General features: G+C 51.0%; 1 long non-coding RNA gene across 4 annotated transcripts, besides 2 other annotated features; it reads left to right on the top strand.

The window, feature by feature from the left end:
- Positions 12,838-13,338: an enhancer, noted in NCBI's record as "H3K4me1 hESC enhancer chr1:5561971-5562471 (GRCh37/hg19 assembly coordinates)". NCBI's record gives its function as "activates a minimal SCP1, AML or CMV promoter by ChIP-STARR-seq in primed H9 embryonic stem cells {active_cell/tissue: H9 hESC(primed)}" and the evidence as "EXISTENCE:reporter gene assay evidence [ECO:0000049][PMID:30033119]".
- Positions 13,339-13,839: an enhancer, noted in NCBI's record as "H3K4me1 hESC enhancer chr1:5561470-5561970 (GRCh37/hg19 assembly coordinates)". NCBI's record gives its function as "activates a minimal SCP1, AML or CMV promoter by ChIP-STARR-seq in primed H9 embryonic stem cells {active_cell/tissue: H9 hESC(primed)}" and the evidence as "EXISTENCE:reporter gene assay evidence [ECO:0000049][PMID:30033119]".
- Positions 20,620-24,407, top strand: LOC105376686 (uncharacterized). 4 transcript variants are annotated; one of them, XR_007067027.1, is made up of 4 exons: positions 20,620-22,494; positions 22,642-22,761; positions 23,668-24,105; positions 24,199-24,407. It is a non-coding gene; the product is annotated as an uncharacterized LOC105376686 (long non-coding RNA). The 4 variants fall into 4 exon arrangements; XR_946910.3 differs by lacking the exon at positions 22,642-22,761 and having other exon boundaries at positions 23,668-23,759; positions 23,831-24,407; XR_946909.4 differs by having other exon boundaries at positions 23,668-24,407.
- The last annotated feature ends 879 nt before the right edge of the window (positions 24,408-25,286 follow it).

Here is a 25,286-nt window from a genome sequence, read left to right as displayed (position 1 = left end):
GGCTCCATTTTACCTTCCACCATGAGTGGAAGCAGCCTGAGGCTCTCACCAGATGCCCAATCTTGCCACCAGCAGAATCGTAAGTCAAATAAACTTTTTTTTTTTTTAATAAATTACTCAGCCTCAGGTATTCCTTTATAGAAATACAAACGGACTAAGACATCGTGCTTGGTGCAGGAATGGTCCAGGAGGTTTTTGACTCCAGGAAGGGACTCAGGCCAGGCTCTGGGCTTTGGATGTAAGCTCAGAGCTTACTTCCTCATTGACAAACAGTTAAGTCTATTTCGGAAACAGATATAACTTGTACCTGTGGTTTTACTAATCTCTTTATAATAGACAATATTTATAGTAATGACATGAATAATGCACATCGTTATTTTAATCAAAAGTTACACTGTTACAGAAAAAGCACATGAGACCGGAGTAGACGCTGAAATCTGGCTTTGTGAGCCCAGCCTCCTGCAAGGTCGGCCTGGGGGCCTGGCAGCTCTGCCGCCTCGCTGCGCCCCCGGTGGCCATTAGTGGAATTGCAGGCACTGCACCTGATAGGCACCAGCTGTGCAGAACTGCACTGAGATCATTTATATTCATCTAGCATTTGTGTAACTTTACTATCTCTCCTCTAGCTTTTAAACCCAGTTACTATTTCTTACTCGCTTCACTCACTCATTCTTTCATTCAACAACTATGGATGGGTTTTGTGCTTCAGGGTCTTGGTGATGGAACTCTGTTGGTGAAACAGACAACAGCCCGTCTCCATGGAACATACATTCCAGGGACCATAAAGGGAACAGAGCAGGCTTGTCCAAGGACCAGCCAGAGGTCCAAGCAGTGAGAGGACAAGAGCAGGAGGAACAGAGGTGCAAAGGAGGACTGAGAGGAGAGGAGTTCCTGTTTAAATCCACCCACAGAGGGAAGTCATTGTTGGCTTTAAGCCCAGTTGTGACCTGACACTCATTGCTTTGAGAATTCTGCATGGCCTGCTCTGCAGAGAATGGATGGTAGAGGGGGAGGCGGAAGAGGGAAATCCTATAGGAGGCTGCAGCAGACGGCTTTGGGCTAGGGTGGCCGCTGTGATGGAGAGGGAGGGGTGGATGGAGAGAAAACCTAGATGTGGAATGGCAGGTGCAGGATTGGATGCGGGAAGGGTAGGGGAGAAGCAGACTGGCTGTGCAGGTGCTCGGAGGAGGCAGGGAGACTGGGAGGGGTTGGGGGAGGGTGTGTCCCTTATGTTCTAAACACAAAGCCTGCCAGGCTTTTGGTTAATGTTTGAAAAAGAGAAGTGTCAGGCCTAAGAGGAGCGGCTGCTTTCTTGTGGTGTGTAAACAGAAGCCTCTTAGGAGGACTGAAATTTTGGAAGGGGTGGCATACTGTCTGTCAGACAAAAAGTTTGCTCAAGATCCTGAAACTGTGACCCTCAGGTGCTGCCAGGGCGGTCAGATCACTGGACCTGCAGGAAAAGACTGCTCACTGTCACATGCCCCTTATGGCCACCATGGAGCTACAGACACAGCCTCCCCCTCCAACAGCCTCCGGATGGCATGGGCTGCACTGGCCAGTGGTTGAGGCCTGAGGCTGCCGTTGGTGAGCTGAATTGGGCTTGGTGTACCATTCCCTGCACTGGGGCCTGAGTGAAGACCATACTTCCTTGGCTTCATCCCCAGGTCCACACCCTGTCCTTTGTGGTCTTACGGCTCCAATATGGAAATGAACCATGAGAAGAAGTGCCACAGGGACAAGAGGGACAATGGGGACAAGGCCACCCCAGGCAGATGGGACCCTTTCCAGCAGGGGCCAGCCCCCGACCATCCTGCACCTCCAGCCGATCAGCAGGGATGCTCACAGAGGGGGCCAGACATCATAAGAGCAGGGCTCTTGGAGCAGCCGGCGCCAGACAGCCCAGGACAGCTTCAGCCTTGTCCTTGCACCTTGCAGGGACCCAGAGCCCACCTGGATCCTGACCGCTTGTGTGTCTCATCCTCAGGGGCTGGCGGCGCAAGCTCTATGTCAGTTGGGTCCTCTGAGAAGCTGACGCCAAGCTGAGATGAGACATGCAGGGTAAAGGGAGGGGCAAGTGTCTAGGGTGGGGCTTGGGGCCATGACTGGCTTCTCTGCTCCAGGTCCTAGGAGGCCAACATCAAGTCATTGGCCAGCCTGGGCTCCTATCTGGAGGCTCTGAGGGAGGTTCTGTTTCCTTGCTCATAAGGGTTGTCGGTGGAATTCAATTCCTGGTGGCTGTAGGACTGAGGTCTGCCTCCTGGTTGGTTGTAGCCAGGCTTGTTCTCAGCTTCTAGAGGCCTCTTGCATTCCCCAGATCACAGCCCCCTTTCTCCATCCTTACAGCCAGCAATAGCAGGTTGAGTCCTTGACACTCTTTGAATCTTTCTAACCTCCCCTTCTGCTTCCCTTCTCCTGCTCCAGCCAGAGAAAGTTCTCTGCTTTTAAGGTCCTGTGAGATGAACTTGAGCCCACCCAGCTCATCCGGGATAATCTGTTTTAAAGCCCGTATCCTTAATTATACCTGCCAAGTCCCTTTTGCCATGTGCTGTACCATATTCACAGGTTCAGAAGGTGGGGACATCCTTAGGGGGACAGAATTCTGTCTACCACAAATGTAGAGCATGACCCTGGAGGCAGCATTTGCTTATTTATTGTGCAAATATTTATTGAGCATCTACTGCATGCCAAGTTCATGCCATGCTGAAAAGCATAGTCCTGTCTTTATAGGGTGCATAGTTGGGCACTAGGATGGTGGAAGAGAGAATGGAGGGCCCTCTGGAGATGACAAGTGCTCTGAACAAAGGCAGAAGTCTTGAGTCCAGCATGTGGCCCAGCTGGCACCTGCAGAGAGGAGGCAGGATGAGTGACCACAGGAGGATGGACTCACTATGGGGCTCAGCTGAATGGTGGAAGCTTCTGGGCCTGCTTTGCTGTGCAGGGCAGTTTTCATGGCCCCCACCTGATTTCAGACAGTTCTGCCTGGCATCAGAACTGGAAGGGACTTCAGAAGTTATTAAGTTCCAGTGTTTTCAAAAGAAACCTCCTTCAGGAGATATACGACATTTTTTTTTAAGAAGAGCAGCTTGGCTTGAAGCTGGGGGTTACAGAGAAGGTGTGGGGAGCCTCCTGCCTGAATGGCAGGAGTGGGGGAGTGGGGACAGACCACCATCCATGAGGCTTCTCAGCTGAAGCCCCGCACTCTTTAGGATGCAGTTTGAAAACTAAGGGAAATCGCGGCCTGGAGAGAAGAATTTTCTCAAGTTCATTCATCTACCTAAAAACAATCCAGACTCCTAGTTCAGCAGGGTGCTGATGACTCAATTATAACTTTTTATAGCTGGGGTGGGGTTGGAAAACCAATTTGTCTTCGTAAGATCACTTCCAGGCATTTAGAAATTCTGTATATAATGATGCTTCCCCCGCCCCACTACCAATTTTAATTACAATCTCCTTCTGCCTCTATTCCAAGAGTTAAAGATGTGGAACTCAGGAAATTCCTCACAAAATATTTTTGATGCTCTTTTTCTAAGAGCCTGGCTTGAAGAGATGATCTTCCTTTCTCTCTCTCCCTCCCTCCATTTCTCTCTTTCCCTCTCTCTCTCTCTCACACACACATGCGCACACACACAGCCTCTGCCTCATGTGCTTTTGCCACTCCTGAAGGAGGGTGATGTGTGGGCACACAAGGGCAACACCCAGCCTTGCACTGCGACACCAGTCTGCAGATCCACTCTTGGGAATGTGTTTTTGTTTCAAGCTGGGTTGATTCTCTCTGTTCATTTCCCTTCTGTGGCCCATCAGCTCCGTGTTTCCTGTCTCTCAGCTCTCCCTGTTTGCCTAAGACGCACAATTATGTCCTGGATTCCACACAGGGCACATTTATGGGGACTCATAGGCTGCCTGAGTCACGGAGGAGCCAGTCCCGTATGAAAATCAGGGCCCTCGACATCGGGCAGATATGCCAGGCTTTAGGGTGCTCAGCTTGCAGGCTCCTGGACCCCTCCGTCCCACCACTCTCTCCACCTTTTCCCATCCCCTCTGGGCCGGGGACACCTCCCAGGTGCTCTGGAGTCCTGGGCAGCACACTGGCCAAGGAGCTGTTCTGTGCACATTTCCTCGGGAGCCAGGATGACTGACCCTTGCTGTGGGCTTGCTCTATGTTCCGGAGGAAGCGAGATCAAATGTCCATGTTAGCTGTGGTCCCTTGGCAGAGGCTCTAATCAGCCCTGCATGGCTACTGCCAAGCAGGGAAAGGAAATGCGTCCCCAGCAGGGAGAGCCCTTTAAGCCATGGTCAGTCGTAAGCACAAGGCTGGAGTCAGGTCTTGCCTCTCCATAAGGAAATCTGTGCAGTGAGGGAGCTCCTCACCCCAGTTCCACTTGTGAGGAGGAAGGAGGGGATGAGAAAGGTGAGAACAGGAGTCCCAGGATGCCAGAGGGAAGAAGTATGGTCCCAAGGTTAAGAAGGAGCTATGGGTCAGGCCGCCCTGCCCAAATCCCCACCCTGCCATTGCTGGCTTCTCCTTCCTCAGTCTGCTCATCTGCAGAGTGGAGGTGATACCGGCACCCACCTCCCGGGCTCTTTCTGAGGGTTCCATGGAGAAGAGAGCCTGCCACGTGGTGAGCACTGAGTAAAAGGTAGCTATGATGACGATTGCCTTTTTCCCGATGTTTATCAAACCTGGGTACATGCATGGATCTCTCTGGAGGAAACCATTCCTCTTGAACCCTAGAGAATATCTCTGAAGCCCTCAGAGTTCAGTTTATGGAGTAATGATTAAGCAAAGGCCTTTATTGAGGAAGATCGTTTTCCCTGGTAAATGACCTCTGCGAAAGTTTTTGCCTCTAGAGCTGGCAGGATGTATTTTAGACTCGTTGAATAAAAACACAAAATTTCGTTCTCAGAAACTTGCAGGTCCTGAGGAATTTGCAAAGCTTCCTTAAACCTGGTTGGGGAGAGAAACGGGTTGGGGGAAAATGCTGGGCTGTAGGGCAGAGATTGGACAGGCATACTTGGGGGTCTGGCTTCTGGGTCTGCTGGGATTCACTGGACGTCCCCTGATGTGGTTCACAGGGCAGAGTACCCTCCTTCCAGCTCTCTGGGGCTGCTTCCTTGCAACCACCTGCTCCCTTCCATCCTCCCGAAGTTGTAACAAAGTAACCCCTGGGGAGACGGTGTTGCTGCCACCTGGTGGCCAGTTCTGCACACTGCAGGCTCCCCTGTCCTCGGGGACCCCAGGAGGCTGTACCTGTGACCCCGCAGAACCGCACGGGCTGGGTCGTTTTAGGGGCACTCATCACAGTGAATTGGGGATGGGTCCCTTCCCATGCGTGTCTGTGCTACCAGTGAGCTGGTGCAGGAGAGTCCCGTGCCCAGGGAGCCCCAGGCCGGCAGGCAGGTGGACCCTCCTCCCTCCTCCCTCCTCCCTCCTCCATCCAGGGTGCCCACCTCCAGGAGCTTCTGCCGTCCCCAAGTTGTCTCTCCCTGTCCTCAATCCCCCTGGTCGCTCCGCTCCAGGTACCCTCTTCGGGGCAGCCCAGATGCGCTGGAGTCTCCAAGACACCCCTCCTGGCCTCATCCTCCTGCCTGTCGGACACCACACACTCATCCTTGGTCTCTGTTTCCCTTTGATAAAACCCTTTCCTTTCCTTCCATCTTTCTCCAGAAGCAAAAGAGGGCAGGGTTCTGAATTGTGACTGCCTGTTCGGTGCCTGATGACATTGTCAACACCGAGGTCAACCCATGGAGAAAGATTCTGCTAAGGCCTGGGATGCTTAGCACTTGGTGGACTTGACCTTGTTTATTTCCTTACAAGGTGCCTGGGAAAGAGCATCTTTAGGGGCTTCACAGATGAAGAGCAGGGCCTCTAAGGGTCAAGTGAAGCTTAGTGGGCCCTGGAGCCAGGATCTTCCCAGCACTGTCTGCACGGCACTCAGGTGGGTCACAGCTGAAAGCGCACCGGGATGCTGGAGGCTGAATCCCTCGCAGGGCCGGTAAAATCCCAGACTGCTGCACCCACAGCCAGAGTTTCTGACTCAGCAGGTGTGGGGCGGAGGCTGCAGAGTTGGCCTGTCAACCTGGCTGCTGTTGCTGTCCCAGGATCCCACGCTGAGAACCGCTGATACAGGTTGCTGGATCTCACCTCTGGCTGGGGTTGGAGTCACCTGGGGAGACATGAACATGCAGAGGTCTGGGTCCCCACCTGGGGAGGCAATGCCGCCGTCAGTGGCGTGGTCAGGCACCAGGAATTTTAAAAGCTTGTCAGGAAATTCCAATGTGCAGCCAAGGTTGGGAATCACTAAGTAGCTCACCCCTTTCATCTGGGGGAAACTGAAGCCCCAGGAGAGAAACAGATACCCTTGGGTCACAGGCAGAGTCAGCCCTCTTGGGGCAGGGTCTTGGGTTGGTGCTGAGGCACCTTGGGCGTGGTTTGGGCAGGGGTGCACCTGTGTGCATGGCCATGCCAGGACCCTAAACGGACAGAGAGCAGGGCTCAGGGGTGGGGAGGTGGGGGCATCCAAGGAGTGTCCTGCTGTGTCCTCCAACTGCACCTTGCCCAGCCCCCGTCTCAGAATACACAAAAGGCAAAGGTCAAGGCCACGTTCCCCAGGTAGGATTCAGGCAGGACATCAAAGCCTGAGGCAAGTGAGCCTAAGATCCACTGTGTGGTCCCAGGTTGACCCTGACTTTGTCCACCACCTTGGCCAGGTTCTGTCCAGCGGCCTCAGGGTCCCCTTTGTTCCTGGGTTAGGCCATTCTTGCATTGTTATAAAGAAATGCCTGGGGCTGGGGAATTTACCAAGAAGGGAAGTTTAAATTGGCTCGCAGTTCTGCAGGCTTCACAGGAAGCATGATGCCGGCATCCGTTTGGCTTCTGGGGAGGCATTGGGAAGCTTTTACTCATGGCAGAAGGTGAAGGGGGAGCAGGAGTCTCACATAGTGAGAACAAGAGCCAGTTGAGGAGGTGCCAGACACTTATTTTTTTTTGATACAGAGTGCTGCTCTGTCACCTGGGCTGGAGTGTAGTGGCATGACCGTGGCTCACTGCAGCCTCCACCTCCTGGGCTCAAGTGAGTGATCCTTCCACCTCAGCCTCCCCAGTAGCTGGGACTACAGGCATGCACCACCATGCTTGGCTAATTTTTGTATTTTTGTATTTTTTTTTGGTGGAGACAGGGTTTTGCCATGTTGCCCAGGCTGTTCTCAAATTCCTGCGCTCAAGTAATCCACCTGTCTTGGCCTCCCAAGTGCTGGGATTACAGGAGTGAGCCACCGCACCTGGCTACCGCACACTGACAAACAACCAGATCTCGGGAGATCTCACTACCATGAGGACGGCACCAAACCATTCAGGAGGGATCCACCTCCATGACCAAACACCTCCCACCAGGCCCCACCTCCAACATTGGGGATTACATTTTAACATGGATTCTGGCAGGGACAGATACTTGACAACACCAGTTACCATGATGGCATGGAACCCCGGGAAGCCCACGGTGGAGAGAGTGGATGGGCTGCCCAATGTCAGGCTCGGAACACTCTCCCACCAGAGCTGGTGAGAGACCGGGGCCACCCAGACCCCACATGGAGCCTGCAGTGGGGTGTGGGCAGCAAGTTCTGCCTGACAGACGCCATGCCTGCCCCGCACTCTGGGCTGGTGCGGCACGGGCTTAGGTGGAGCGCGTGAGCCTTCTTCGTGGAAAGTTGCTGAGCTGGCCAAGCGAGGCTGGGTATTATCTAGTGAGTGATACTCCCATTAGCGAAAAAGAGGAAGAGCTTCCAAAAAGAATGAGATAAATGGCTCCATGCCAGAACGTTCCTCTCACCCTAAGTGTAAATATTGTAAATAAGCACACCGTGCAATCCATCCATCAATGCGAGTGAATTAGCCACCGAGAGATGCACACTCCTGGGGGCGGGTGTGCAGACCCTCTCGGCCTGGCATACGTCCCACCCCAGCTCTGAGCTTTCAGAAGGAGGGGGCAGCTTTTGCTGAGGTTGGAGACGGCAGGTTTAAGTGATGTTATCCTAATGAAGGGAAAGAGATGATTTAATGAGGTGTTTTTTATGCTCCCAGCTACAATACATCTCTGGTGACGAGCACCGAGTGCTGAGTGCTATCGTGGTTCTTCCTGCCCCTTAAATTAGGTGGCACAGTTCCTGGCTTGTCAGGAGAAAAGTGCGATTCTTTCTTTCCAGGGGAGGGGGGGAGAGTGAATGATGAGCAGATTCCTGACAACACAGGGACCCTGCGAGTACCCAAGTCATCTGAGTCCCTCATTTGCCATCTCCCTGTGTCATGGGGGCTGGGCTCTGCCCGGGGATGGGGCTTGTTGTCCTTGGTGGTGTTGCGGGACAAGCTGGTCACCTTAGCCAGGGTGGGGGAGGCAGCTCTCTTCAGCACTCGGCCCCGCTCTGGGTGTGGGGGCGATTCCTTACAGCACAAGCCGTCTCGGTGCTCTGGAAGCAGAAGTGTCTCTCTCAGGTGAGACTTGCTCCCTCCTCCCCATTGATCTCACCTTCCGCTATCCACCCATTCCCAAGGCTCCTTGGAGGCCAGACACCTGGAGCTCCCTCTTGCACCACAAGCAACGTGGTCAGCAAGCCTAGGACGCCACCTCCTGCCCTGCCCTCCTCTCTCTTGGTTCATGTTGGTGGTTGCTGCATTTCTCTGGCCAGCATAGGTGCTGTGTGTGGGCAGGGCTGGGCCCTGATCCTCCTGGCTCCGTGGCAGGCATGGGCATAGAGCTTCGGGCTGGGGGAGTGTTTGTGGGATGAATAGAGGATGCTGGTCCAGATCCATCCCATGGCTGATGCTCCCATCCTGGACCTGGTGGGCACGAGAGGTGCTCACACCCATTATCCCCTGTGGTTCTTCTCAAACACACCGAGCCATGGGGCAAAGTCTCCCCGATTGAACCTGGGGGAGTCTGACAGACCCACGTCCTCAACCTTCCTTGTGCATTACCAGATCCTTGGCCAAGAGGACAGAGCCTGGAATCTGAGTCCACTGGCGCAGGATGTGGAAGTAAACATGAGCCCCAGGTCTTGGAAAGAAGCCTGGCCTACAGGCCTGACCCCAGCTGACCCCAGGTCCAGGCCCCACGATGCAGGCTGCTTTGCCCTCAGGTGAGAGCCGCCCGGATGACAGCATGGGTGTCTGCTAGCTAATCAAGCTATTATGAGAATTCAGCAAGAGCCCTAAGGATTTGATTTAGTAAATTTCATCCTACTGGGTCTATTATCAATATCCTATCACACTCCAGAGTGCACATGACAAAACCCAAATTATAATTGGGTTAACATTGTAACATCTTAAGCAATAATAAATTAACCCTCATTTAATAACCCACTTTAAAAGTGGAAATGGCTATGTTAATATATGATAAAATATCTTAGTCTGTACATACGAAACACCCTGGAAAATACATTAAAAATTAATTATAATAAAATCGATGTGATTAGAAGCAAAAGTCCTTTATGCAAAAGCAGTAAATGTGCTGAAGATGTTACAGTAAAGAAAAAAAACACCCTGTGATTAAAGAGCTGGGGAATGCTTATGGAAAACTTTTAATAAACGTTCTCTCCTCGGGCAATTTTGATAACAGATATTTAGAATCTGACTCTCTCTGTCAGATACAGCCATGTGAAATGCTCTCTGTCACTGTTTTTTTTTTTCCTGTTGGAGACTTTTGGCTTGGTTTGCAGATGTCTGGTACCACCCAAGGCCCTGTCCTCTCGGGGGCCACCAGCCAGGAGTCCCTGGGGGCCGACGGACTCCTCTGCCTGCCCATGTTAGTCAGGGTGGGCTGGGTTATGGTACAGTAACAAACAGCGCCCATCTCAGAGCTACCAACAACATTCTGTTCCTCCCTTCTGCAGGGGTCACTGCAAGGCTGAGCACTCTTCAGGGTGACCCTGTGTCTTAGTCCATCCAGGCTGATGTAGGGAAATACCATAGGCTACTATGTAGCTTAGAAAATGATGAGTTCACTTCTCACACTTCGGGGGCTGGCAAGTCCAAGATCAAGGTGCTGGCAGCTTTGGTTTCTGGTTCGGTGCCAGCTTCCTGGTTCACAGATGGCCCCTTCTCACTGTGTTCTCACACAAAGTCTTCACCCCCATGACCTGGTCGCCTCCCAAAGGCTTCATGTCCTAATACCATCACTGTTGGGGCTAGGATTTCAACAGTAGAGTTGGGGGCATAGATGCAAATACTCAGAATATGGCATGGCGGGCCTCGTGATGGCTACGAGTTGTACCTCCTTGTAAACAGGCACTTTCTCAATTACCAAGGCAGGAGAAGGAAGTTCTGGATGCTCTCACTCCAGCCATTTGATGCCTCTGCCCGGAAGTGGCACTCATTTCATCGGCCAAAGACCGTTGCATGGCCATTTCTTGTTTCAAGGGGCCGGGGAAGTGCAAGCTGCGTGTTGCGGTGTGTGTGTCTGGGAGACGAACCTGTTGCTGACAGCTGCCTCCTACAGGAAAAGAGGTCACAGTGACTGGACTGGGAATCCCCCTGAACGTTAGTTCACAGCTTCGGGGGTACTGATGTTCCAGTTTTAATCTCCAAACAGGAGCTCTAGCTGGGATTTGGCCTTTCAGAGGGTTTCATATGCAGCGGCTCTTAGTCACCCAGAACCTTCCCCAATCTCAGACCCAGGGGGATGAGATCACTCCCCTGGCACGAGCAGCCCCAGAAGAAGAGTGCTTGCTTCAGCTGCTGGCTGAGTGGCGAGCTCAGGGCCTGGGGACGTTGGTCCTTGTTGGCTCCAGGGGATGGGCTGGGTCAGCTGTAGCCACCGGAGAGCCAAGACGTGGATTCCTGGGAGCATTTCTGAGCTGCTGCCAGAAGCTTCTCTATGTCACTGGGAGAGAATGTGGGGCAGTGTGAGGCTTTGCCCCTAACGGTGAGGGCTCCACTGAAGGAAAGAGAAAACACCGTGTTGCTGCTCAAGTTCTGAAAGGGCTGGGAAATATAACTAAGAGTGGGGAGGACATCCCCTCCATGCGAGGAGGCCAGGTGGGAATGTGCCTCAGGTGTGCTGGCTGAGTGCACCAGCTCATTCCAGACCCAGCACTGGCCAGACCTGCCCCAGCCCCAGGGCTGAGCCCAGGCAGCTCCCCACAGTCTCCTTTGGGACAAGGCAATGGCAAAGATTGGTGGAGCTATGCTGAGCAGGGCTGGTTATTTTATTCCTGCTTTCCATCGTGGGTTTTATTAATATGCAGCCATGGTGGGCCAGCAGATCAGCAGGCAGCTGCCTGTTTAAGGATTTGTTACTCACAGATCCCATGAGGAGGGGGCAGGCCACGTCACACAGGGCCACAGGGGAAAGCAGGGGCATCCATCAGGAGGCAGAGGGAGCCGGGGGCAATGTGGGCAGAGCCTTTATAGTGGTTTCTGCAGGAAGGATAGGCTCGTGTGGATAATTTCTGTGGGCTCTGGGGCAGAGAGGCTGCCCCTAGGTGTCTGGCACCTAGCCAGGGGTGACTAGGGCAGGTGGATGGTGGCCCTGGGGGGAGAATCTGGTAGAGGAGGTCGTGGGGTGTGGGCTCTGGGTGGGTTGGTATTAAAGGTGGGCTCCCAGCACAGTCCTTTACTATCTGTAGGAATTGGCCAGCCCTGGGAAGGGCCGTCCCTCCAGGATCAGCAAGGCACTAGAAGTCAAAGTGTCAGAACACAGAAAATTAAACTTCACGGTTAGTACAATTTTTTCTAATCTACCAGAGTGAGTGCAGAGCAAGAGGAAGCCATGAGTGTGCTGGGGTTTGAACCCTCTTGCAGCTGCTGTTATCAGGAGGAACAGGGGGAAGACACTGTCTTGAAATTAGAGTTTGTTGGCTGGTCGTGTAGGAGCCTCCGGGCCCCTCTTTGAACCTGCATGCTAATTCGGCGAGGAAGGCGATGAGTCTCAATTTGTAGACAAGGAAGGTCAGGAAGGAACTGCCCAAGGCCCCCAGCTCAGAGCAACTCAGGAAGACCCTGAGACACCATCTTCCCAGGGGAGCTGACCTCAGTGCTTCTGCCCTGGTCCACCCGGGCAGGATGCTGCGTGGTAGAATGCTTTTCTCAGGTACAAACCTCTGCCCTGGGATGAACTGCAGCTCTGACCACAGCGCTGTCTTGGCTGAAAAAGCCCTTGGTCCTTTGTCTCTCCTGATGTCACTTTGCCATTTGTCCTTTTATTTATTCTGTACATGTCCACTGTGCTGGCTCAGGCCAGACATCCTGCCTGCAGCCACCTGCACAGCCCTGGGCTGGAGAGATGCCTGTGAAGGCCTCTGCCTAGTTATGGCCAGTGTGGAGGTGGTTGCAGAGCAGGAGGTCCCAGCAAGCATTCAAGGGATTGCACCCCAGAGCTCCCGCCCCCGCCCCAGAGTGCAGATCACCCCCAGTGTCACTGACAGGTGGGAACAGATCTTAGTTCTGCACCAAAGTTAGAAGTCGTTCTGCTTTTTGTGCTTTCTTTTTTCTAGGCTTCTTTTGGGCACTGCTCAAATTCTCTGCCTCTGATTCACGACAGGGCAGCCATCTGTGCCAACAAGAAATCTGCGTCTTCGGGTGAAGGAGTTTTAGGAATAAATCCAAACAAAACTTTAAAAAAGTCACACTTAATCACACTTTCTCTTTGTATCTGGAGCCCAGCCCAAACACTGATTTGTAGCCCTTTAGTGCAACTCGGAATTTGCCGGATTATCCTTTGTATTTATGTAGCTCATAAGTCTCCCTTGACTGGTGGATGTCTCCATAAATACTCGGCGGCAGGAACGCTGCGAGTGTGGGCTTGCTTGCAATGGTGACTTTCATATTTCAAACACGGCTAAATTGAAGGAGATGGATTTGGGTCTGAGACGCCTCAGCGCATTCTGTAGTCTTACTTAGGCTCCTAGTTGCATACAACACGTTTGCTCTTTTCTTTCCCTTTTGGGACACACTGTGATCTTTCTGGATCTCCCATTGGCTGTGGGCTTCCTATGTCTCCAACAGGGATCTGCAGAGTATCTCCATTCATCCCCACTGGAACTCTCCGTAATCGGGATAGTCACTTCCATTTCAGAGGTGAGGACAGCAAGGTTTAGCAACAGTCAAGTGTCCAAGGTCACCCTGCTTGAGAGAATCAGGGATTTGAACCGTAGTTATTGTGACTCCGAGGCCCATGTTCTAAACCTCCATGCCACATATTTCATGCCTGAAACAAGAAAATGTCCAGGATGAGGCCAGGCCCAGGGTTGGATGCCTCCTGGCACTTTCTAGGGCCAACCCCGCATGCATGAGCTGGATTCCGATTTGGGATGTGGTGCAGGCCGTCGTGATGGGGCCGAGAGACGCACCACGGTGTCCCTGTCTGTGTCGGAGCAATTGCTTCCATGTACAGCCTGCTCAGGAAGGCAGGGCTGGCTTCCAGGAAGGAGAGGGTTCATGTGGCTGGGTAAATAGGTCCCGGCTTGTTTAAAGGACTGAGAATGAGGATGTCAGCCTCGGAGACAGAGACAGTAAGGCAGCACCTGCCGAATGACGTGAAGGGTGGGGGAAGTGGTGGGGTCGGAGGAAGACAGATGGCACCGTGAATAATGAAAAACCTGGATATTAACAGGGGAGAAGGGAAATACAAGGCTGACAGAAATGTCATTAAAAATAGATTGAGGCCATGGGAGGAGGGACAAGGCACAGAGAAATTCTTCAGAAAAGATGTTGCTTAAGAAAGGGGGGAAATGAAGCCTCAAACACCCATTTTCCCGGCTTGCCAAGTCAGCCTCTTATTGTAAATCCCAGTTAACTCCTCTGAAACAAGAGCAGGCTTGGAATGGAGGCTTGACTTCTGCCAGAGGCTGGGCGGCGGCTGGGACCGCTGGACATCAGGGGTGCTGGGACCTCGGCGCTGTAATGGACGGGTGGCTTACACTGTGCTCCAGGGCCAATTTTTGGAAAATTTTGACATTATACATAGTATCATTTCCAAAGGTAACTTCCGGAATACTCAGTTAATTAGGATAACCCTGGCCCAGTTATTTTTGGGGAAAACATGCTATTCTGGAGGAAGCATCTGCAAGATTTGTTTTTTTAAAAAAAACGGTTTCAGCAGAATAAAATTAGGCAAAATATTTTCTGCTCTGGAGAAATAGCTACAGGGATCCAAATGTGACCAAGAGCCTAACCACAGCTTCTCTTTCCATATGTTATGTTCATATCTATGTCTATTATACGTATACTTGCATACATAAATATACTTGCATGCATGGATAAATGCATAGACAGATGATAGACGAGTGCATAGATGCTTGGATAGATGCATAGCTAAATAGATAATGGATAAACAGATGGGTATATAGAGGAAGGCAGGTGCACAGACACCTAGATGCCTAGATAGACAGATAGATGTGTAAGTAGCTACACACATGCACGCACACACATGCACGTGTGCACACATGCACGCACACACATGCACGTGTGCACACATGCACGCACACACATGCACGCACACGCACACGCATGCACACACGCACACACATGCACGCACACACACATGCACGCACTCGCACACACATGCACGCACACACGCACACACGCGAGCGCACACACACACACACACGGTGACGGGACAAGGCTCTTCCATCTAAAACAGAACTTTCTACCACCTGGCGGCTGGTGTGAATGTTCCTTGTGCCCAGCCCAGCAGGGGACACCACTTTTTTTTTTTTTTTTTTTGAGACGGAGTCTCACTCTGTCGCCCAGGCTGGAGGGCAGTGGCGCGATCTCAGCTTACTGCAAGCTCCTCCTCCTGGGTTCACGCCATTCTCCTGCCTCAGCCTCCCGAGTAGCTGGGACTACAGGCACCTGCCACCACGCCTGGCTAATTTTTTGTATTTTTTAGTAGAGACAGAGTTTCACCGTGTTAGCCAGGATGGTCTCAATCTCCTGACCTCATGATCCACCCGTCTTGGCCTCCCAAAGTGCTGGGATTACAGGCGTGAGCCACCACGCCGGGCCAGGGGACACCATTTTTAAGGGTGAAAGTTAATGGCCATTGCAGCTCAGCTCTCTTCCCCACACTACCACCATGTGGACCTCAGGCGTTGCTGTGTGGATTACTCCCAAATGCCTTTGGTCACTGCACCTGAAAGGCTGCCCCTGTTACACCTGCCTGGGGCGTAGGCCCTGCTGTGGCTCCCACAGGCCCTGGGTCCTTCACTTGCTGTCTTACTTGCTTGTTTAACCTGCTAGCTCTGCTCTTGGACAGGTGGGGAGAATGCCTTTTTATTCACAGCTACATCCTAGCGCCTAACATAGTGCCTGGTGCATAGTGGGTACTCCCTGAATGCTTGTTAAATGAATAAACAAAAGAATGAATCTACAGGTAAGATCACAAGTCCCCTGTGTGGCTTTCACTGCCCTTGACAATCTGACACACTTATCTGCAAACCTTGCTTCCCAGCACACTCATGTCTGGGAAGATTATCTATCTATTCTATCTATCTATCTATCTATCTATCTATCTATCTATCTATCTATCTACCTATCTACTATCTATCTACTATGTATGTACCATCTATCATTATCTATCTATCTATCTTCTATCATCTATCTATCTATCTTCTATCTACTATATATCTATCATCTATCTGTCATCTATCTATCTATCTTCTATCTATCTATCTATCATCTATCTAGACCTATTATCTATCTATCTATCTATCATCTATCTATCTATCTATCTTCTATCTACTATATATCTATCATCTATCTGTCATCTATCTATCTTCTATCTATCTATCTATCATCTATCTAGACCTATTATCTATCTATCTATCTATATCATCTATCTAATCTATCAATTACTCATCTATCATCTGTCTATCCATCATCTATCTATCTATCTATCTATCTATCTATCTATCTATCTATCCATTATCTATATATCTATCTTCTGTCTACTATCTATCTATCATCTATTTTTTAATCTACCTGTCTCTCTGTCTATCTATCCATCCATCCACTATCCATCATTTATCTATGCATCTATATATCACCCTATTGAAAGCATGTTCTTTATCCCAACAATTACCTGATCAGAGAACCTGGGGCCTTCTATAATAGAAGGCAAAATCCTATCTGTGCTACCGACACTCTGCTAATGCCTTAGGACTTGTTAGGGAAATCTGTGTCCCCCCAATGGCTTCTGCAGACTGTCCCCTGAGAGTCACCACTTGGACATGGCTAGAGGACGAATTATCGATGTGGTCTTCCTGCTTCAGCAGCTTCTGCATGTGGTTCTTCTGGGGAAGACAGAAGTCCTGCCCTGTTCCTGGTTTCCTCTGGTGCCCTCTGTTTGCTAGCAAGTCTGAGTCTTCCTTGTTTTGGGGGCTCTGGGGTCACTTTGATGCCCCATCTCAGGCCTCTAATAGGTGAGAGAGAGCAGGTACTGGGCCCTTTGCCTCTGAGCACAGCCTCTCTGGGGTCAGTTTTGGCAGGTTGGCTTGGAAAAAAACCTGCTGCCCTGGCTGCCTGCCCCACTTGCAAGCCCTATCAGCAGCATATTCAGTGGGTTGTTGGGGGACTATCTGTTCCTGAATTATCAGGAGGCTTATTAAAGATGAAGATCCCAGATCCAGCCCCACCAGGATTCAGGGAGTCCTGGGTGTCAGTTGCTCCACAAAAGCTTTACATTCTACGCCCTCCCCCTCTCACCCCCTGGACCAGGTGGCTCTCGTCCCACAGGGTGGGAACATCTGCCCTGGAGCACACGTGGGTCTGAGGTCCCAGCCCTGAGTGAAGATCCTGGTTTGGCTTCCTGGGGACCAGCTGGGTGGCTTGGACAAATGCCTTTGCTTGGCCGAGCCTTATGTTCTCATGTGTTCAGAGGAGAAAGGAGCACAGCCCTGGAGGAAGGTGCCACCTTGTCTGGCACCTGACAGATGCTCAGACACTGCAAGTTCCTTCCTAGTCCCCTCCCCGAACGCCTTAGACACTGGGAGACCCTAGCATGGGGAGGGAATGTGGGGGACACCCTGAAAGCCAGGGGAGAGGTTCCTTGATGCTTGCCTCTGAGCCGACAATCCTTTTCTTAAAGGAGGTTCCCTCAGCATCCTCAAGACAGGTCCACTTGTATACAGGCTCCATTAGGAACAAATACACCCACTTAAATATGCAAAGACAAACCCATATGCACAACACACACCTGCAGATGCCTGCACACAACTGCATACTTCACACATGCCTGCACACAAACATACATCTGCACACTCATGCATGGGTAAGCACACACCTGCACAGATGCACACATATGCACACACATGCACATATGTACAGGCATGTGCACACTTGCACAAACACATACTGCCCATGCTTGCTAAGCAGCATTCTCTCCAGTGATGGAGGAAGGGCACTGAGGTTTGGCTGGAGTCTGGTGCCCCAGCTCAGCACTACAGCCAGCTGGCTTGGGGCCAGGGGCTCAGGGGCTTAACAGGAAGGGGTCCTGGTGCCAGTTTGCTGCTTGGTTTGAGGAGGCAGAGTTGGACCTGGGCTTGCTCCTCGAGTATCTGCAGCCTGACCCTGGAGCTGCGGGTAGACGGTGCCTGCACCGCTAGGCAGAGGCTGTTCAGGACGTGGCCTTCGTCTCTGCCCCTGAATCCATGCTGAGGCTGAAGGTGTCCAGCTTCCTGCCTTCTGACTGTTTGCCAGGCAGGGGATGTTTGAGGATGTCCAAGGAGGCTGGGGTGAGGCAGATACCCTCCTGGCCTCACCGGGTCTTTGGAGGCAGGAGCAAGGGCTGCTGTGCTGAGTCCCGGAGGTTGGATCTTATTTCATAGTTACTGGAGGACTGACCCTAAACAGTATTCTGAGGCGTCTGAGAATCTTAGCATTTCCATGCATCTCCAAGTGTCTGAGATGAGGCCAGGTGTTGGCAGGGGTCGTTATAATTCTAATAGCAAGAGGAGAGTCTTGAAGCCAGTGTGGGCAAGGACCCCCAGGAATATTGAAGGGTTGTGGCCCTTGAAGGATGAGGGGCTGACCTGCATCAGTGGAAGAAGCTGCCTGTTCATTCACTTATTCATTTAGTCTGCAGATATCAATTGGACATCTGTGATGGGGAGAAGGCAGACTCTATAATAATGGCCTCTCAAAGAGACATGTCCACATCCCAGTCTCCAGAATCTGTGAATGTGACCTTATCCTGAAAGAGGGTTTTTGAAGTTGTTATTAAGGATCATGAGATGAGATCATCCTGAGTAATCCTGGTGGGTCCCAATCCCATGCCAAGTGTCTTTATGAGAAAAAGGCAGAGAGACCAGATATGGACAGAGAGGGGATGCTGTGTGAAGACAGAGGCAGAGATTTGAGTGATGCAGCCACTAGCCAAGAACAACTGGAGCCCCCAGAGGCTGGAAGAGGGGAAGAAGGACCTTCTAGGGCCCTTAGTGGGAGCACAGTGCTGACCACCCCTTGATGCCAGACTTCCATCCTCCAGAACTGAGAGAATAAATGTCTGTTGTTTTAAGTCACTGAGTTTGTGGTCCTTTGTTATGGCAACCATAGGATTCAAATACAGTTAGAATAAAGTGACACAGGAGACTTGCAGGTGCCCGGGAGTGGAGTGAGAAGCCCTTCATCTAGCTGGGGTAGGGCCCGGGTGAAGGAGAGGGACTCCAGCTTCAGGTGCCTGTGGATAAACACAGTGCATGAAAAACAAAGACCTGGGCTGAAGGTAGATCCCTCTCCCATCTGCTCTGCCAGAGCTCAGGGGGTGCTTCAAGAAATGTTTGCTCTTCCCCCAACTTTTGCTGGGTTAGGAGTCAGTGACAAGCACAGGATGAGCAGATACTTACAAAACACACTTGGTCTGGCACAGAGAGCCCCACAAACAGCATCACTGTGATGCATTAGCTGATCTCCAGGTCATTGCTAACCTCCAGCTGGGGGGACACAGAGGAGCACGGGTGCCCCAGTGCCTCACCCCGAGTGGCGCTGCCCATCCGCCCTGGGTGAATAACCTTCTAACCAGCAACAGAGGCTGCAGCTGGACGTTGTCATTCAATTCCAGTGATGTTTTAAGACTGACCTAAATCAAGCCAGGCTCCCTGTCCGAGCCCTGGGCTGTCTCCTGAGTCTCTGACCTGCTCCTTGTAGAGTGGATATAGCAGCCTGGAAGATGTATCCTGTCCTTCACTGTTGGCCCAGAACAGCCGGCTCCCTGAGCGTTTCCTTAAGCTTCTACAGATGGGGCCATGATTCATTCTTGAAATCTGTGAAACAAGGGTTCCCCAGAGACAAAGGAGAATCCAAGGGGTCAAAGAGTTTCTAAAGTAAAAGCTTCCCAATGAGAGAAATGCTTCTGAGCCTTCCTGTAGAGCTAGGGGACATACTGTGATCCCAGGTACCTGGCCATCCTCCGGCCTTGTGGGAACCCTGTTTCCCCACTGCCCAGGGAGAACGCGTTTGCTCTGGGGATAGGGTGGCCGCGTGTGCTGGCGTTGCAAGGGGGAGGCGGCCCCATTCCTCATGCCTCAGCTGAGTGCCTGCTTTAGCTAACCTCTGAGTGCTCCTTCTGTGCCAGATCCGGACCTTGTCTTTGAAATTTGTTATTTTGTTTAATGTCATGGAAACTTTGGAGGTGACAATGATGGTCATCATTCTTATTTTGCATGTGAAAACAGGTAGGTCTGATTTATCTAAGATCCCCTGAATCACCTGGGGCAGAGTTGGGCTCTGGGTTTGATCTTTGCCATGAGCCGTAAGATCCGATCATCTCGTCGTTGGAAGGAACGCGCCAGGAGATGTCGAACAGGTAGGGAAATAATTTATTCCCAAAGCGGCCCTGGACTGGGGCCTGGACGTGTCTGTGCCCACCTCCCCTTCCCTCGCTGGTGTCCAACCACGGGGCTCGGGAGGACTGCAAGCATGACAGATGAACAACAGTGCCCTTGGCAGGCATCTTGCTTCCAAATAGATAAATAAAAATACTGCCACCAACTCAAGACAGCCACTGGCATGTCATCCAACCATGTGGGGGAATTTTACACAAATTCATTTGTTTAGTTTGGGGCTATTTTGGAATCTGGCTTTAATTTAATTTGCTGAGATTTGACTCGATTAAAGGGTATTGATCTGGGGTGCCGAAAATTGCTGCCATTTGTCAATAGTGTCTTGCCTGTAAAATCTCATCGTTAATAAATCAAGTCTCAGGCTGCTCAATATGTAGTTATTACAGTTAAGATACAGATGCAGCTTTTGCCCTCTGGCACCCTGTGACAGATGAATATCATTAAAAGTTGCTAACACTCTTTTGAAAGAGTTTGATCTTTGCTTTTATATTGACTTTCCACCCCCGGCTCCCCTCCAATGTGGGCCTTGAACGAAAAGTTTAAAGAACTTAGAAGACTTGTCAAGTTTCAGGAAACACGACCAGACTTAAGGCAGCTGGAGCAGCTCTGGGTTGGGAGGCCACACGGGATTATTTAATTACTTTGTTGGATAAATGTTCTCCTAAGAAGTCACCTGCGGAAGCCACATCTCCTTTGGAGAGCCCCTTCTTTATAGGACAAGAACAGAGTGTACTGGGCAGGCTGAGCTTTATTTAGTTCCAATTGCTTTATTAGGACAAAATGTGGCAGACGGCTCCTTAGAGCAGCTGTAAGGCGGCAGTAATAACAATCAATTAATAAACTGTCCAATATTTATGAATAACCTCCTTTGTGTGGATGGCTGTGCTAGAGGCTTGATAAATATTTGTTAGTACATATTTTTGCATTTCAAATAAGAAAGGTTACCACCCCAGAGAGCTGGAACTAAAAAAGACCCGGGAATTCATCCAGTACAGCACCCTTAATCATAAGGGAATTTGAGGATCTTCCCCCAACACAGTACAGCCCAAGAGAGGCTGTGATCCAGAGACCCCTGGCACAGCAATTGCTCCTGCCCCCGAGCCTGTGCAGGCTGCCACCTGTGCTCCAAAAGCAGCCTTCATTGTGGGAGAACTTTCAACCTGGTCTTTCAGGGTTTGTGGAGCGCACTGCCCTGGCTCATCTCTCTCTTCCAGGACTCCAACATACTGGCAGCCTTGGAGGGATCCGTCCTATTGACACAGAACTCCTCTGTTTTGATTCTCTCACACCGTGCTGGCGCTGGATGAAAAGTCCTTTGAAAAGGCTCTCTCCCTTCTGAACACTTCATCATCTTCTCATTTGGAATCCGGAGAGACTGGCTTTTCCCTCCTTTCTCTCCTTTGTTCTTTCTTTAATGTGCTGCAGAAATGCCTTGGGGGAGAGTCTGTGCTCGGGGCCAGCCCTGGAGCAAGGGTTCTCTGCAGAGTGTGCCGGGGGTGCAGGGGTGGCTCTGAGCCTGGCCTCCACAGGATGGACATGTTTTCCGCGGGCAGCTGATTTAATGGGGGCAGTAGAGGCAGAAAATTCCAGCAGCCTTTGCAGCAGGAGTGGAGAAGCATTACAAGATGCTTGACAGAGGCGGTTGGGGTGCATTTATGTCACTGTTTACATGTCTTCTGGCCTTGGGGTCCGAGGGCTGGCCTCTGAGCCTCCCTGGAGTTGTGTGGCTGGAAGGAGCTCCAGGGCCAGGGAGGTAAATCTTCCTGCCTCCTGGTACTTTGCAGCAATTCCAGCCACTGTGCCTCCAGGATTGGGGCACTCTATCTTCAAGGCGAGCCCTGGCAGGGTGGAAGGTCTGTGCCAAGTGCACAAGAAGGAACTGCTCAGAGCTGTTTGCAATGTATAGAAATTGGAGAGCCTTGCTTTTCAGCATTATTCTTTTATTCATAGGCCTGCGTGTGAGAGGCTTGTAAATGACATTACCAATTTTGCATTAAGCAGGTCTGGCAAGACTGGCTGAGTTTCTACATTTGGGGCTTCATGCGGGTGCCTGGACTGGCTGATGGGCCAATTGCTTCATTAGGCATCTTAAGGATATGGCCGTGTCTTGGCTTTTTAATCTAAAAGTCATTAAGGGGCTCTGTGTTGGGCAGAGGTTGATGGGCACTCCCCTCTGTTTCTGTGTCCTTGGCACTAACTGGGAGGGCAGGCCTGGTCCCTGAGCCCCACGCTCACTTCCTCCTGTGCCTTCAGGGCAGGTGCTCACCCATCTGGGAAAAGGCCTGGGGCAGGCCGACAGTAGGGTTTGTCTCCTCTTCCTTTGGGTCCAGTCTGTTTTCAGCGGGCTGGAGCTGGCTTCTCTGCTCAAACAGAGCAGCACTGGCTGTGGGGAGCGAGGCCCATTCTGGCCTGAACTGGAATGTGGGGAAGGTCCACCAGCCCTTGCTTTCTCCCAGCTGCCAGTTCCTCTCCTGCCCCTGAGTGACAACACAATGGGAGCTTTAAAGACCTGGGTCCTTCAGATGGGAAGCCAGGAGTGTGCATCACAAACACAGCCAATCCCAGGCTGCTCTGTCTGGGGACCGTCAGAGGACACTGCCCTCTTGCCTGGTACAGAAGGAGACAGTGATTGTTTAGCTGTGGGTAAGGCACAAACTCTGGCATGTGGTAAGTACGCACTTCACCTGTTTGTTGAATGCATACATAAGGGACTTACTACTGACTCCTGGTTTCTGAGTCATTAGCACTGACAAAAAGTAGATCTAAAATAATTCTCTTTTCTATTTCTTTCTTTCTCTTTTTTTTTTTTTTGAGATGGAGTCTCTCTCTGTTGCCCAGGCTGGAGTGCAGTGGTGTGATCTTGGTTCACTGCAACCTCTGACCCAGGTTCAAGCAATTCTGCTGCCTCAGCTTCCTGAGTAGCTGGGACTACAGGTGCCCGCCACCACGCCCGGTTAATTTTTTTGTGTTGTTAGTAGAGACGGGGTTTCACGGTGTTAGCCAGGATGGTCTCGATCTGCTGACCTTGTGATCGGCCCGCCTCAGCCTCCCAAAGTGCTGGGATTACAGGCGTGAGCCCCTGCGCCCGGCTCTTCTTGAGCTTTTTCAAAGCCAAAATGATGTGCGTTGCTCTAGTGGACACAGCCCCTTCCTTCTATTCTGTAGGGTGTCCGTGGACATTTTATATATCTGCACATCAAGGAGGTTCTGTGGTCAAATAAGTTTAGAAAACATGAGGATAAACAGGGTCTGTTCATGCTGCAGGACTTCTCAGAGCCTTTATTTCATTCACCGGCATTCAAGCGCTTCAGGAGGGGGAAATAGCAATCCATGATTCTCACTCTTGGCATGAGTAAAGAGCCTTTTATTCTCTCAATCTGAGAAACTCTGGAAATGATTGTCTGGAGCCGTTCTGTCCACTATGGTGGACACTAGCTACATGTGGCTTTGTAAATTTAAGTGAACTAAAATGAGCTGAAATGTAAAAGTCACTTCCTTGGTCACATAGTAGCCACATTTCAGGTGCTTGGTACCCACATGTGGCTGGTGGCTACTGAAATGGACAGTATGTTCTCATCATTCTAGAATGTTCTGTTGGACAGTGCTGCTCTAGAGGGATCTTGGAGGTGAAAAGACAGGAGACTGGGCAACTAGACTTTGTGGGGAGTCCTACAGCCCCCAGAGCTGGTGCTTTCTGGGCCCTTCTGTGAGTCACACAAGAGAGTATCACTTTCTTTAGCAGTGGGGATGGAAATAGCGAATATTTACTACTTGTGCACCACATATGCCAGAAACTTCTTAGTTCTGTACTTCACAAACTTTATCTTATTTAATCCTCAGAAGGAGTCTCTGAAGTTAGCACCCTTCTAAGAATCCAAACTCTACAAGCAGAGGTTACCAAGCACAGAGGCGTGGCACCCAAGATCACACAGGTAACACACACGTGGAGCTCGGGGTTAAAGCCAGGCAGACTGAGACCCGAGGTCACCTCATGTCACCATAGGAGGCTCTGCCGATTGCCCTGGGGGACACACACACCTGCGGCTGCTTCCAACAGCTGTGCCCAACCTCAGAGGATGAAGACGATTCACATTTGAGGCTCTTCAGAATAATGTGCCTGGCTCTAAGGCAGCTTTCAAAGAGGACATTCAGCCTGCTATGGCTGTGAAGATATTCAACCCGATGTCATCCACTGTGAGGCAGAGGTTCTGGCATTTTGAGGACAAAGCAGCCGGGATTCTGTCACCTCGCTCTGCATACACCAGCATTTAATGCAAGGTGTGAGTGAGGGCATGTGTGGGTATACTCATGCCTGTGTGTTTGGGGGTGCAGGGGCTAGCGAGGTCCTGACAAAAGAGCTTTCTTCTGCAGATCATAGAGTGAAACGATTCCTGCGCCCAAAAGGGATTTTAAAAACAGCTCGAGAAGCTGAAAGCAAGATACAACAGACAGTTCCACTCAATTTGCTGCCTTCAGCCCGGCTGCGTACTGGAAACATTTGGTCCTGCTGAAGCATGCTTGTCTGCCTCCGGGGTCAGGGCTGGGTGTTTCAGAAATGGAAATGCAAGCTTCTGGCAGCAGTCGCTTTTCCTGTTGCGCTGACTTGTCGCTTCGTTTGCTACCTTGTATACAGACAGCAAAGGGGCCGCGGGCCTCGGGTCAGCCTGATGTGCTGTGTATGTGTGTGTGAGTGTGTTTGTGTCTGTGAGTGTGTGTGTGTGAGCTGAGTCAACTGAGGGACTTGTTCTCAGCACCTCATTCCCTTGCTTTCAAGTGGATCCTGCCTTCACTTTGTGGCCCAAGCCAGATTTGGCAACGGGGAACAAGCCACCTAGAAGCTCAGGCAAGTCCTTCCTGCTGAGAAAAGGCTTGGACCCCTCCAGGACCTGTGATCAAACCACCGGTGTTACACTGGCTAACGTGATGGACGTACAAGCCGTGCAATTGCACAAGGCCCCTAGAAGGGCCTCTGGCACGGTTTAATGCTTCGCTATGGCCATCTTGAAATTCACTTTTTTTTTTTAAATTTTTAAGTTTTATTTTAAGTTCAGGGGTACATGTGCAGGTTTGTTATATGGGTAAACTTGTGTCATGGGGGTTTGTTGTATAGATTATTTCATTACCCAGGTATTAAGCCGAGTACTGATTAGTTACTTTTCTTGATCCTGTCCCTCCTCCCACCCTCCACCCTCTCAAAGGCCCCAGCGTGTGTTGTTCCCCTTCACGTCTCCATGTGCTCTCATCATTTAGCTCCCACTTTCAGTGAGAACACGTGGTATTTGGTTTTCTGTTCCTGCCGTTAGTTTGCTAAGGATGATGGCCTCCAGCTCCATGCATGTTCCTGCAAAGGTCATGATGTCCTTCTTCTTTATGGCTGCATAATATTCCACGGTGTATAGGTACCACATTTAAAAAATCCAGTCTACCATTGATGGGCATTTAGGTTGATTCCATGTCTT

The sequence above is a fragment of the Homo sapiens genome, chromosome 1 (genome assembly GCF_000001405.40).
Source record: "Homo sapiens chromosome 1, GRCh38.p14 Primary Assembly".
Taxonomy (NCBI): Eukaryota; Metazoa; Chordata; class Mammalia; order Primates; family Hominidae; genus Homo; species Homo sapiens.
This window is presented reverse-complemented; position numbering and strand designations above follow the sequence as displayed.